General features: G+C 39.7%; 2 protein-coding genes across 16 annotated transcripts in view; one reads left to right on the plus strand and one right to left on the minus strand.

Annotated features, from left to right (window-relative positions):
• The window catches only part of IFI16 (interferon gamma inducible protein 16), a 55,176-nt gene extending 45,023 nt beyond the window's left edge, over positions 1–10,153 (plus strand). For 5 of the 13 annotated variants that reach the window (NM_001364867.2, XM_047419406.1, XM_047419399.1 and 2 more), the window contains 5 exons: positions 299–466; positions 4,434–4,601; positions 6,681–7,100; positions 8,535–8,726; positions 9,823–10,153. In NM_001364867.2, coding sequence (NP_001351796.1) covers positions 299–466; positions 4,434–4,601; positions 6,681–7,100; positions 8,535–8,726; positions 9,823–9,903 — 1,029 coding nt within the window. In that variant the 3' untranslated portion in view covers positions 9,904–10,153. Of the gene's footprint in view, positions 1–298; positions 467–4,433; positions 5,573–6,247; positions 7,101–8,534; positions 8,727–9,822 lie in introns of those variants that run through there. The other 8 variants (NM_001376591.1, XM_047419411.1, XM_047419413.1 and 5 more) reach the window with 3 other exon arrangements.
• The window catches only part of AIM2 (absent in melanoma 2), a 92,082-nt gene continuing 87,102 nt past the window's right edge, over positions 10,053–15,032 (minus strand). For 2 of the 3 annotated variants that reach the window (XR_007064924.1, XR_001737547.3), the window contains 2 exons: positions 12,603–14,961; positions 10,053–11,585 (listed from right to left, as the gene is read on the minus strand). The gene's annotated coding sequence lies outside the window, so the exon portion shown is untranslated. The remainder of the gene's footprint in view (positions 11,586–12,602; positions 14,962–15,032) is intronic. The other variant, XR_001737544.2, reaches the window with a different exon arrangement.

Below are 15,032 nucleotides of genomic sequence, written 5' to 3' on the forward strand. Positions count from 1 at the left end.
AAGAGTTGTACCTGACCAAATAACTCAGTCCAGTTTTACAGGACGTGAAGACTGAGTATTCCATCCCCAGACAATGCAATTTCAGTTATCTGAGTTTTTAATCCTGACTGGGATGAGAGAAGGCTGAGTGATAGAAGTATCTGAATATGTGGTATTATTCCTCCTGCAACTCAGGGAAAAACAGAGAAACTGGCAAAGTGAACATCCTATTTAAAAAAGAAAAAAGGAAAAGATGTGTTTCATCTGATCTTGAAAAACATTAACTAGAAAAAAAGAACAAACATCTATTTTCCTTTAGAAAAGTGAAGACACAATCTCCAAAATGAATGACTTCATGAGGATGCAGATACTGAAGGAAGGGAGTCATTTTCCAGGACCGTTCATGACCAGCATAGGCCCAGCTGAGAGCCATCCCCACACTCCTCAGATGCCTCCATCAACACCAAGCAGCAGTTTCTTAACCACGGTACAAGTTCCCTCTTCCCAATACATTCCCCTCACTACAATGTAATGACAAGGATTAACACAACCTTGAAAGCACCTCACCAATCCCCTACTACATACAATGCTTTAATTTAACCAAATCAGTCATTTATTTATCAAGTGTGTATTTTGAGGTCCTATCCAAAATTAAAATTCTATTTTTATCATCTCTATTCCATAGCAGGTATAATTAGATATCTTTTTAATTTTATTTTCCTTTTGGCTTACCTTTTTGTTTTTCCCTCAATACACCACGAAAATAATACTTTAAGGTAGAACAAGGTGGGAAAAAACAGAGCCAACCATAACACTATCACTGATTCTTTCTCTTTCATTTATTATAACTCAAATAATACCATCTTTAAAAATTTAGGAAAAGAAGGTACATAAGCAAAAATAATTAATTTTTAACTATCAGAAATCTTTATCTAATGCCACATTTCAGTACATGGTCTTTCTGACTTTACACCTTTCATTATGTATATACAAAGAGTCTTATTATATTCTCTCAGAGTAAATCACATTACGCATATTTTTCTATAACTCATGCTTTTTATTAATATATCTTGAACTGCCATTCAACCATACAATATAGATTTAAATTACTTTATTGTACCAGAAAAATTGCATGGTTATTCCATACATTATAAAATGATCCTACGTTATTTGGCTTATGTTGTTTCTAGTATTCTGTGAATTTACAATGAACATAGTAAGAACAAATGTCTCTCAGATCTTCTTTCATTACCCTCAGAGTAGCTTTATAATTATTTCCTTAGGTCCTGTGCACCTTGTGTCAGGGTACTAATGTCATGGCTATTGTAAGGTGATTTGATACTGATTAACTTCATTGGGAACGGGTTTCCTAATGTTATGGAAAATTGGCCACATTGATGAGTTTTGTGTGTGATATGCGTTATTCCTGGTTTTGATTTGAAAACCAGAAGGATAACATTTTTATATTTGATATCTTCTACCATGTCTCCCTTTAAATAAACAACATACAATGATTTGAGATATGAACAGGAATAATTGCTATTTTTTCCTGAATAACAATTCCACCAGTATTATTATTACCAATATGTTCATCCTCTACATTCCAGTTTCTTTGCAATCCTTTCTCTTTTGCTCTCTCACCATACATCAGAGGTTAGTTTCACTATCCATGCTCTTAACCACATCAAGGGTTTTGATACTTCCTTTGATATCAAATTTTTCCATCTCAATTCTGTCCCCAAATAAGTTCAACCACGAGGTACCAGTCTCATCTATTCCTTGAGCAAGTTCTCACTAATACCCTCCTCCCAGAATAGATCATATTTTCTCATTGTTTGCCTTCATAGGTACCTTTCTATTTCTTTAGAGCATTTATCATAGCTATAATAAACCTATGACTTTCTTCCCTACTCAGCAATAAATGTAGGTTATAGATACCCTTTCCTAGGAGAAGATAACACAGAGGTGGGAAAGTGAATTTACACTTGTGTGTTATCAACCCTTATCCCAGCTTGCCTTTTGTTCTGCCCTGATACCTCTGTATGACCTACAATCCAGCGCTATGGGGCCTACACCCAAGACGAATGGGCAGGGAAGGTATGGGCAGGGAAATACTGACCCACGGCAACTTGAGGGATAGGGAACACTAAGATTTACATTACTATTCTCCAATGTTGTTTCTCACCCAAGCCCCAAGCTACCCCCGGCCCAGGTTGCGGACCCGAGCACCATCCACACACGTCAGTTGAGAACAGGCTTTCTACATACAGGTTTTCTCAATTTTTTAGACAGTCTTTTTTTTTAGTTATTAATTTCAAGATTTCATATTTCCCCCTATATAGTCTTTCCTGGTTCTTCTTGGGCAGAACTAGCTGCTTGTAACTGTTGCCATCTTGGGACTTACCATCAAGGCCACAGGTAGAGCCCATGTGTAGTCATGAAAATCTCAGGCCCACTGTCTCTCTGTTACTGTAATGACATACATAGACATCATAAGACAACTACTCTGTCCATGCATACTGGCTTGGAAGTGACACTTTCTAAGACCTTGCCTGCCTAAATATGCAGCACAATCATTTCTACTTGCATAGGAATCATTCTGCTGCTCTGAAAGCTCAGGATCCAAGGCAGACTCATCCACCTAAACATACACCACGTAGTCATTTCTTCTCTGGGATCCAGCCATCTTCACAGGAGGCCTGCAAAAATGGTGTCTGACCAATCAGTCTGTGATTCGCAACGTAAGCCGGGAATCCTTGCTCTTATACATCACAGCTTCTCCCAAGTAGTTTTTCTATAATAGAGTTCTTTCTGACTTTAATTCAAAGCCGGAAACAGACTATTACCTTTGATTTATGCTGTTACGTATCCTGAAGTGAACAGTACACAAGGGCATAATTCATGAACAGGGTAGGGTGGAGGAGGATTTATTCTGAGGGAAAACAAATGCTTGCACTTTTAAAATATTATTCAAACAAAGATTATAATTTCATCATCCAAACTGGGCTACTGTGATGACAGTTTAAGATTTCACTTATTTTTAAAACATTATATCTCAAGACAATCTTGTCAATAAAATTACATTGCTACACATGGCAGATCTGAAGAGAGGGGCTTCTCTCCTATTATGCTTCCTATATTACCTCCATACAAGATTTCCATCAGCAAGGGCATCATAAAGCATGAAATAGCTGTTCATCAGAGCAGACACGCAAACCCCTAATAGATCGTGGAAAAATAATAGCAACAAAGATTTATTTATTGAGCATTTACTGAGCTCTGGACTCTAAAACCCATTCTTTGTGCACATTACCTAATTTATTCTTTATAACACCATACAAAAATGCTATGGCTAGTCCCACTTCACATGTGAGAAAACTGAGATGCAAAGAAATCTTCCTCAGGGTCACACAAATAGTATTAGAGTCAGGATTCAAATGCAGCCTTATTGAACTTAAAATGTTAACATTTAAAATGTGAACCTTTAATGAGCATAGACTGAATCCACAGTAGGTGTGCAAATGTTAAACAATTTTGAAAATACAGTGTTTTGTTTGGGGTTTATTTCCATAGTCCAGGTGCTCAGTGGTGGTCAGAGACTGTTCTAATCAAGAAGCTGTTCTCCATGTGAGCTCACTACAAGCAGTTCTTTTGTGTACCTCTCTATCAACAATTGCCACTTAAAAAATTAGGTTACTGAATGGCAAAACTGCTAAAATAATGTGCCACATTGGCCAAATAGGGTGAATATTTTTTGGACTTCCATTAGTTTAATTAAAGGTAGTCAAGGTATGTGATTTTAGAGATATTCTCCAGTCTTACTTGAAAAATGTATAAAAATATAGCTAATGGGAATGCTTTAGGTGGAATATTAAATTGTTCTGAATACAGCTAAAAACCCTGAAAGATTCTGATAGCCTGATCCACACTGTAGTGATCATAGAACCTTCCCTGAGGAATTGTGAATTTGAGAGAATCTTCCTGTTATGGCTACGATCAGAGATCCCTAAAGGATGGAGATCTGGGTTTCTTGTATGCTGAAGAGCACTTGAGAGAGACTGGTTTGTGTATCTAATTGATGAGAAAGGCCTAGTTAATAAATGTCCATAAATGTAGCCAACTTTATTGCAAGCCATGCTGCCCCCAAAATAGCCCTAAGAGTTGTACCTGACCAAATAACTCAGTCCAGTTTTACAGGATGTGAAGACTGAGTATTCCATCCCCAGACAATGCAATTTCAGTTATCTGAGTTTTTAATCCTGACTGGGATGAGAGAAGGCTGAGTGATAGAAGTATCTGAATATGTGGTATTATTCCTCCTGCAACTCAGGGAAAAACAGAGAAACTGGCAAAGTGAACATCCTATTTAAAAAAGAAAAAAGGAAAAGATGTGTTTCATCTGATCTTGAAAAACATTAACTAGAAAAAAAGAACAAACATCTATTTTCCTTTAGAAAAGTGAAGACACAATCTCCAAAATGAATGACTTCATGAGGATGCAGATACTGAAGGAAGGGAGTCATTTTCCAGGACCGTTCATGACCAGCATAGGCCCAGCTGAGAGCCATCCCCACACTCCTCAGATGCCTCCATCAACACCAAGCAGCAGTTTCTTAACCACGGTACAAGTTCCCTCTTCCCAATACATTCCCCTCGCTACTATATAATGACAAGGATTAACACAACCGTGAAAGCACCTCACCAATCCCCTACTACATACAATGCTTTAATTTAACCAAATCAGTCATTTATTTATCAAGTGTGTATTTTGAGGTCCTATCCAAAATTAAAATTCTGTTTTTATCATCTCTATTCCATAACAGGTATAATTAGATGTTTGTTTAATTTTATTTTTCTTTTGGCTTACGTTTTTGTTTTTCCCTCAATACATCATGAAAATCATACCTTAAAGTAGAACAAGGTGGGAAAAAACAGAGCCACCCATAACACTATCACTGATTTTTCCCCTTTCATTTATTATAACTCAAACAATATGTTTAAAAATTTAGGAAAGGAAGGTACATAAGCAAAAATAACTTTTAACTGTCAGAAATCTCTATCTAATGCCACATTTCAGTACATGGTCTTTCTGATTTTATACCTTTCAGTATGTATATACAAAGAGTCTTATTTTCTCTCAGAGTAAATCACATTCACATATTTTTCCATAACCCATGTTTTTTATTAATATATCGTGAACTGCCATGCAATCATACAATATAGATTTAAATTATTTTATTGTACTAGAAAAATTGCACAGTTATTCCATACATTATAAAAATGATCATTTTTTATTTGGCTTTATGTTGTTTCCAGTATTCTGTGTATTTACAACGAACATAATAAGATCACATGTCTCTCAGATCTTCTTTCATTGCCCTCAGAGTAGCTTTATAATTATTTCCTTAGGTTCTGTGCACCTTGTGTCAGGGTACTGATGTCATGGCTATTGTGAGGTGATTTGATACTGATTAACTTCATTGGGAATGGGTTTCCTAATGTTATGGAAAATTGGCCACATTGATGAGTTCATTAGAGTTAAGTCCATCAGAGTTAAAGCCATCACTCACAGGTGGCCAATATCATCTTCCAGGTCAGATCACATTGCTGGTCTGTGGAGGCAGCCGTCCTGCCTCCATGTTCTGGTCTCTAAGACTCCCTTGATCCCTTCTTGCCTCCATACCTCCTCTTCCAGATCAGCAGCCCCTCCAAGTCAAAGTGCTCTCCTACAACTCAGAAACAGTGCAGGCCACTGTGGAGACAGGAGGTTAAAGAAAAGTCCCCTCCCGCCTAATTTTTCACGTCCATGACTCTTTTTAGTTCCTGCCATTATTCAGATTGGAGAGCCTCTAACCTGGGCCCCTTCAGATTAGGAAAGTTTGTGGAGTCTTCCAGTGGCTGCCTTAATGATGTTTTTGCAACATAGTGCTGCTTCATTAGAAAGGGCTTTGCAATTTGGTTCTTTAAAATGCCCCTATCTACTAGAATGAGTTCCAACTGAAATCTCATGAAATCTAAGGTTTGTGGTTGAGACTATTCCTTACTCTGAATGCTAGTAATATGATTTTTTTCTCTATTTTTATTTTATTTGGTCACTGTCATATTAGGCAGGAGGGAACTTTTCTTTAACCTCCTCTCTCCACAGTGGCCTGCACTATTTCTGAGTTGTAGGAGAGCACTTTGAATTGGAGGGGCTGCTGATCTGGAAGAGGAAGTATGGAGGCAAGAAGGGATCAAGGGAGTCCTAGAGACCAGAACATGGAGGCAGGACAGCTGCCTCCACGGACCAGCAGTGCTCAATATGACCTGACCTGGGTAGAAAGGAGTAAAACTGAGATTCTTCTAAAATCTCATCTCTTTTGGGAGTCACTTCATGGCAGCTTTGCCTTTACCCTCTGCTTCCCCATACCTCTTGATAGGGGATATGCCTTTTCTTTATGGGTTAATTCTCATTAAAAAAGAAATATTCTTCCTTCCACTCTCATAAAACAATGAAGATAATAAAATTACTCCTTACATCTTTTTCATTTCTTCCGTTACCTAAATCATACTATCTCAGTGATCTTTGTCTAGTTTTCCCTACTTTACCCAGTTAAGGTGATACTTGAGGACCAACACTGAGGCTGAGATGACTCTCACTAGAGAATGACCCTGTTTTTCCTGTTTTAATTGTGCCTATGTTTTGGTCTCTACCTTCTAAGTTGAAACCAAGACTGAAGACTGAACCTGAAGAAGTTTCCATAGAAGACAGTGCCCAGAGTGACCTCAAAGAAGTGATGGTGCTGAACGCAACAGAATCATTTGTATATGAGCCCAAAGAGCAGAAGAAAATGTTTCATGCCACAGTGGCAACTGAGAATGAAGTCTTCCGAGTGAAGGTTTTTAATATTGACCTAAAGGAGAAGTTCACCCCAAAGAAGATCATTGCCATAGCAAATTATGTTTGCCGCAATGGGTTCCTGGAGGTATATCCTTTCACACTTGTGGCTGATGTGAATGCTGACCGAAACATGGAGATCCCAAAAGGATTGATTAGAAGTGCCAGCGTAACTCCTAAAATCAATCAGCTTTGCTCACAAACTAAAGGAAGTTTTGTGAATGGGGTGTTTGAGGTACATAAGGTAAGCCCACACCATTGTTTTATAAAATTTCTCCTGCAACCTCCAATTTTTAAAGTCTTAACTTGTCAACTGGAGTTTGGTCAACTTACTCAACACAGAAAATCAACCCCTTCACCCTTCCCCCAGCACTAGAGATAATTGAATAGAGTTCATTTCAGGATATGGGGTACGTTATATTGTAACATTCCTCTTCTTAAGGTATCATCATGCAAGTTATTTAGACAGTCACTAGGAAACTTGGCATTTTATTAGTTTTGATGATCTATTCAGAGCCACCCTTGTCCAGGACAGTGCAGAGTTTATATCAACACACATATCCTTAGGATTTTGTTTCTTTGAGTTCTTCTCCATCTGTATCAATGACAACTTAATTTAATTGTGAATAAAAGAGTTGCTCTCCCAAGCCTGAATCCTGATTGTGACAACCAGAGTAAGAAATAAAATAGACTACTCTGCTTTAGAATGCAGCTATGTCTAACAGTTAGCTAGAATTCTGATCATTTGGACTCCAAAGTTTCTTGCCTCTTCTCATTCATTAATTCATCAGGAGACTGTAGAGCAACTAACTTCTGCATTAAATAATAAGAGAAATACGAAGCAAAAAGACTAAAAAAGTCACGTAGCTTAACTGCTCAATTTATAAATGGGGCAATAAAATGCAAAAAAAAGAAAAAAAGCTTGGTGAATTCTTAGGCTTACAGTGTGCCTTTCAGTCTCTACACATCATGTAAATATTATGCTTAGCTGATTTAACTTCTTGTTTGAAGTACTGTTTCATACTCCATTATACATGTCTTCTAGGGTGGCTTACTTTTAATTGTGCTGTTTTCTCTACACTCAGTTTAAATGACTGTACATATATATGTGGTTGTAGAGTTAATGAATAATGAGCTACAAACCAGAACAATGTGACTAGATAGATAGGATGATCTAGATTTGAGATCTGGGCAGATTGGGAAAGAGTGACTATATGGAGAAGAAAGAAGTAGTTACATATTGAAATAACAGTCTACTTAATGAGGACGTGCAACATTCTTTCTCAAACTTACAAAGTGCCATAAAAAGCCTCTATTCTCTGCTCTTGGGCAGGTGTGAAAGAAACCTACCAAATTAATCAGATTTTTCTGTATCCAGGCTCCTTAAAAAATCCCAGCTGTGCTGATGTGGAAACAGGAAGAATTAGGAAAGTAATCAATTTTTTTTCCTAGAAAAAATCCAGCAGACAAAGAACTTCAACAAAAGAGGCTCAAGGGAGGAGTTGAAAGGCAGGATTCAAAGACCAAGTATCTTAAGCTATTTGGTACCTGTTATTCAGGACCTACAGCTCTGTTTACTCTATCAAAGACAAAAGTTTCCAGAAACACCCTGTATTTCTCATAGATTTGAAAATTATTGATCCAGTTTCAGAAGATAAGTGTTAATTTTCTTTTGCAGAAAAATGTAAGGGGTGAATTCACTTATTATGAAATACAAGATAATACAGGGAAGATGGAAGTGGTGGTGCATGGACGACTGACCACAATCAACTGTGAGGAAGGAGATAAACTGAAACTCACCTGCTTTGAATTGGCACCGAAAAGTGGGAATACCGGGGAGTTGAGATCTGTAATTCATAGTCACATCAAGGTTGGAACTTTATAGGAACATCATTTTTCCAAGTGGCGAATCATTTTGTTTATACTTTAAGAAGACTAGACTGCTACTATTACAGAGAGTCTAGCAAGTGGAAAAGGAACAAAGCCTTGCACTTTACTGGGTGTAAACTTCCCACCATTGTTTTTAAAGAAGGATACTTGTAATCATAATAAAAAAAATTACAGAGACTTTCAAAGGCCATGATACCTAAGTTAAATAAGAAAGAATTGGTTGCTTTTACCACAATGTGGAGATAATTTAATAAGAATTTGGGTTTGGTTAAGGCACATTTGTTTCAACTAGCTGGTTCTGTGACTTTCTAGTTGACTAAAGACTTACACTAGGAATCTCAGGTTCATCATTTGTGAAATGGGAGAAATACTGTCTACCATAGAGGGTCATCAACTTAGCTCACAGCAGCCCTGAATTACCAAGAATGCATCTGAGCAAATCAGATCACAAAGGTACCTGCCTTTAGTGAGATACATACACTGGTTTACATCAGACAGAGGTAGCTGGGTCTACATAACAAAGTCCATGCTTTTTGCCACACTGACCCATACATTCATGTGGGATTCTTGGAACACTAACAAAGGCTAATATTAGAAGGCAAATAGTTCAAAACAAAGGCTGACATATTCAGGCACACACATGCTCTCAGATTGCTCCAGTTCTCAGGACCAGCAGTCAAACATTTCAAACCTTCTTTGATAGCAATTGCACCAGGAATACCTTTTGTACTCTCCCCCTTCCTTCTGCCCAATGAAAACCCTCTCCTCAACTCTTGTCATTGGGTGCACCAGCTCCTTTCTCTCTCCTGTTGTTCCCTGACATCTCCTGCTCTTTCACTTGCACTCATGCTGAGTAGGAGTGAATATCTCATTTCACGGTCCAAATTAAACAGAGAGGCATGACTCAAAGGTCAAGAATTTATTAAGGGAGATAGATGAGAGCGAGAAAAGAATCATTTAGAAAGGAATAGGGGAAGAGATATGGTGCAGGGGGAGGAGATACAGTGTGATTGAAGGGAGAAATGTAGGATCATCAGCATCTCAACTGGTCTGTCTTTATCTCTTTCTCCTTCAAGGTCATCAAGACCAGGAAAAACAAGAAAGACATACTCAATCCTGATTCAAGTATGGAAACTTCACCAGACTTTTTCTTCTAAAATCTGGATGTCATTGACGATAATGTTTATGGAGATAAGGTCTAAGTGCCTAAAAAAATGTACATATACCTGGTTGAAATACAACACTATACATACACACCACCATATATACTAGCTGTTAATCCTATGGAATGGGGTATTGGGAGTGCTTTTTTAATTTTTCATAGTTTTTTTTTAATAAAATGGCATATTTTGCATCTACAACTTCTATAATTTGAAAAAATAAATAAACATTATCTTTTTTGTGAAAGGAATGCTTCCCCAGCAGTCTCTTTAATCCATCCATGAGTTGCTTAAAAGCAAATAGTCTGTGGTCTGCAAATCAGGGTGGGGCACACAGGCCTCAAGCAATATTTGGATTTATACTTTGGGTGTGATCTTTACCGGGTAAAGCCCTGATCAAGAATGAACAGGCTGTGTTCTGCTGAAAGAAACCAGGCTAAAGGGATAAGTAAGCGTGAAATCCAGTTTGTGGTTCAGTTGCCAAGTGCTGTGTTACTGTTTTAGCCCAGAGCAGTAGATATCTTTTCAGAATTGGTCTCCTGGAGGGGGCATAATTGGGTAATTTTTCTGCCAAATGAGGCACCTTCTGGTGATGTGCATGAAGGCACTTGTCTGTGTTAGAGGAATATCTGGGCCTGCCTGATGTGAAATATCTGGTTTTATGCATTTCCTCAAAACACCGACTGCTCTTCACGCACTTTCAAACCATATTCCCTGTTCTCGCAATCCACTATAGTGATCTGATACATTAGAAAGCTGCCCTAGGAAGAGCTGCATTAGGCAAACACTGAAGATAATTAATTTTATTCAGAATAGAATAGCAGAAAGTAAGTATCTAAAACTAAAATTTAGCTAAATTTATTGATTATATATTTGGTACCTGGTACTTGGCAATTATTTTGTGACACTTAATCTTCATATTAGTTCTAGAAGGTTGATTGTTTTCTCCTCTTTACTCACCCTATAATATGTGACAAACACGGAATAGAAAGGCAAAGTCACTTTCTTAATGACCCTTAGATGGTAAATTAGAGAGCTTGATTTAGAACCCAGGCTGCTCTTCTCGTTTGGGGTGTGTACGTTAGGAGAGGGTTGTGGGGATGTGGTGGAAGCTGTGAGGAATGGAATGGGGAAGTCTACTACTGTTGCAGGAATTTTCCTTTGTTCAGCTAAACATGGGAATCCTTATCATGGGGCCATGAAAAGTTAGGCTCGCAGACAATTTGAAGTGTGAGGAGGGCAGCGTTTATTGGGTGAAAAGGAAAAGAGGGAAACGGTCCTTCTGCAAAGCCAGACTCCCTGCTTGTGGGCTTCCCACCTGGCAGTTTGAATTTCAGGTTCCACCCAGGAAGAGGAGGGGCTGGGCTCTTCCCCACTGGAAATGGCGCAAACTTCTGTGGCTTCACCCCAGTGCACACTCCTCCCAGTGTGCAGGCTGGAGTTTCTCTGGGGACCCCTTCCCACCTGGCTGTCTCATTGCCCCCTCTAAAGAAATGCATCTAACTGCCATTAGAATAAGGATAAGGATAAGGACAAAGACCGATCTTAACTGCTTCCTGCTGACAGGGGGTGCTGTTTCGGCAAAACAGCAGTCAAAGTCCCTCAGAGGCCTATTTAAGGGTTCCCAGCAGAATGGGCCATTGTCCGCCTCTCCAGTTGCATGACTGGAGTTTGATGGCCTGAAGGCAAGAAGAGACAAATTGTGTTATTAGAAAACATGTATCTAAACAAGGGGAGGGGTAAGGACAGCTCAAAAATCCTGAGGCCTTTTATCAGTTTGCACAAGGAGAGGGAGGCCAAAAGCCCAACCGGCAAAAAAAAAAAAAAAAAAAAAAAAAAAAAAACTACCCTTTAGCTGCCATGTTGGGCTTCTGGGTTCCCTTCCCCTGAGCCCAATCCTAAGCTGACCAGTTTAAGGTTTTAAACTCTTCCCAGTTTGGAGGATGCATCTGACGGGAGTGTCCCGTAGTACGGAGACACAATTGCCTATCAGTGAAGAGAGAACTGAGGGGGGAGAAAGGAAAAATGAAAGGTGTTTTTTCAAAGGAGTCCCAAAGGTTCAGGATGCTTTCAAAAGGGGTACAGATTGAAAATGAATGGTTACTCATCTAAAAAGAGGGGAGCAGGCATCCCTGGTTCCCGTCTCTTCCTAGCAGATACCCATGGTACATGAGGGAGAGAAGGAAGAGCATCCTCTTTCCCTCTTCCATCCTCACATCCCCAAGTCCCAGCAACCTTGGCAGTCAGCACCATGGGTGGTAAAGCGGCTTGTACCCATGAAGCAGGGGAGCCTAGGGGATACCCATGTATGCCCTATTCTCCCCTGCTGTCAATAGCCTTGATTCCCTAGACCTAATTTATGAATTGAGTTTGGGACAAAATGTGTCTTGAAGGATGTTGCATGGACTCTTTATCATAAGCCGAATGCTAAACTGAAGCTGTGGAATTGAGTCCTCCTCCAACAAGGAAGAGAAAAAGATGTCTTGTGACACACCTAGATAACTGGTGGCTACAGTTAATGCTTGCTAGGATTTGGGTGCATGGTGCTTGGCTTTGGTTAGCTCCCTTGGTGTTACTTTCCCAAAGAGGAAACCTTCGAGTGATGGGCATCCTATTTATTCCCATCACCTGGCAGGATTTTGCAGGATTATTGCTCAGAACTAGGATGCTGACGGAGATTTTTACATTACCCATACCTTTTGTTCTTTCTGAGCTGTAGCTGGAGCTTGCTTGTTGGTTCACAGGAACAAGCAAGGTTCATCTAAACTGTAGGCAAAAACTTAAAAACAACTAGTGAGTTTAGAATTTAATGGCAAATGTATGATAAGTTTTGAAACACAATTTCTTTCTCTCTAGTCCTCATTTTTGGAAAAAACAAACAAAAAAACATAAATCATGATAGGACTGAGTTGTTTGCAAAATAGATTGTAGTCTTACACTTGGTCTGATTATTTGCATAAAGTGCAAGAGGAATAATTATTTCTACATAGGCCTTTTGGATTGGCTTTGATGGAACTGTTTCACAAGGAGTCTCAGATAAGACCTTTTAAAGCCAAGCCCAGTCATGGGTTTGTATCCTCAAATGCCTGTGAGTTGAGTGATTCTCTTCTCTTAAGGTCCCAAGATAAACTTGGAGTTCTTGGACCTGTTAGAAAGTGACATTCTTAGGCTGGGCACGGTGGCTCATGCCTCTAGACCCAGCATTTTGGGAGGCCAAGGCCAGCAGATCACTTGAGGTCAGGAGTTCGAGACCAGCCTGGCCAACATGGTGAAACTCCATCTCTACATACAAACATTAGCCAGGCGTGGTGGTGCATGCCTGTAGTCCCAGCTACTTGGGAGGCTAAGGCAGGACAATTGCTTGAACCCGGGAGGCGGAGGTTGCAGTGAGCTAAGATCATGCCACTGCACTCCAGCCTAGGTGACAGAGCAAGATTCTGTCTCAAAAAAAAAAAAAAAAAAGGAGTGGGGGATGAAGCTGGCCTCCTTGACCTGGGGAGGGAGAGACTTCATGGGCCCATGGCAGTAAACACAGCCATGTACCTGGGGCACCTTGGGATGTGTATCCCAGCCCCAGCAGGGAGGGGAGGGTGATGAGGAGCCACTGCTCACCGGTTCATCTGGAAAAAGGAAGTAAAAGGCCATGGAGACAGGTCGACCATCCCAACCCCTGGAAGCGACAACGGGGGTGGGGGCATGATTTCCCCTACCCTCAGAAGTCTGAGGATGAAAGGCTCAGAAAGGAGAGGGAAAAAGATTCCTTGGTTTGCAACTCACCCACCGATTCTCGAGCCCCATTTTGGGCACCAAAAATGTTGTGGGACTTTTCCTTATTTCAGCTAAAGACAGGGGTCCTTATCACATGGCCATGAAAAATTAGGGTCACAGACAACATGAAGCATGAGGAGGGCAGGGTTTTTTGGGTGAAAAGGAAAAGAGGGAAAGAGGGATGGTCCACAAAGCCAGAGTCCTTGCTAGTGCACTTCCCGCCTCACAGTTTGAATTCCAGGTTCCATCCAGGAAGAGGAGGGGCCAGGCTCCTGTCCACTGCAAATGGCGCAAACTTCTGTGGCTCCACCCCAGTGCACACTCTGCCCAGTGTGCGGGCTGGAGTTTCTCTGGGGACCCCTTCCCATCTGGCTGTCTCACTACTGCGAAGGTCCAAAGCTATCTATGCCCAATAAGGAAAAGAGACGTTAAAGTTTACCATTGTGGTCTGCCGTCAAAGAGTGAAATAATAAAAACGTACTGTTTTACACTACCTTTCTGCTTATGTGTCTTTCATTATAGTAGGCTTAGATGCCAATTAGACATTTTTATATTTTTTTGCCCAATGCTATTCTTATACACACACACACACACCAAACACACACACACACATATATATATCTGTGTATGTATATGTGTGTGTATATGTGTTTAAGATTATTTTGCTCATTTTGGGAAACCAGATTCTGAAGAAACTTCAGATGCTACAGAAGCCAGTTTTCTCATCTTTGAGAATACTGAAGTTCAGAGAGATTGAGTGAAGTGGTCAAAATCACAGTATCACTCAGCTAGTTAGGAACAGATGCCATACTAAGATGTCATAGACTGCTAAAACTGCCTCTAAATTCAAATTTGACTTAATGAACTCTAAGAAAAAGGACTGTTTTATACACAGATGATGTTTGTATTCTCAGCTAGTCTAATATTTCATATCACTTGAGGTAAGCTTTCTGTAATTGCCTATTCTTGAGTACCCTGGATGATGGTGATTTGGAGTTAGTGTCATTTAGGTGGGCTGCTACATCCCCACCTTTGCTTGCTTTCCTTAACATCATGCTGATTCCCCTTTGAACTGTACTTCCTAAGGACAATCTATCTTTAAATGAAATAAGAAAAAAATTACCCTCTGCTCAAAAGAATTTGCCTCTTCAATTTTGTTTTCACTTCAATAGCTTCATCCTCTAATGCCTTGATCGCACCGTGTCATATTTTTCCACCTTACCACATATCAGAGCTTCTCCATGGGACTCAAATCAAGCAGATGAGAAGCTGGAGCTTCCCCTAGATCTGTAGTGTGTAGACCAGAGAGGATAGAACAACTCACAGAGATGCTAATCTGTCCTCATAAACATTTTACA

Source organism: Homo sapiens, chromosome 1, assembly GCF_000001405.40.
Source record: "Homo sapiens chromosome 1, GRCh38.p14 Primary Assembly".
Classification (NCBI taxonomy): Eukaryota; Metazoa; Chordata; class Mammalia; order Primates; family Hominidae; genus Homo; species Homo sapiens.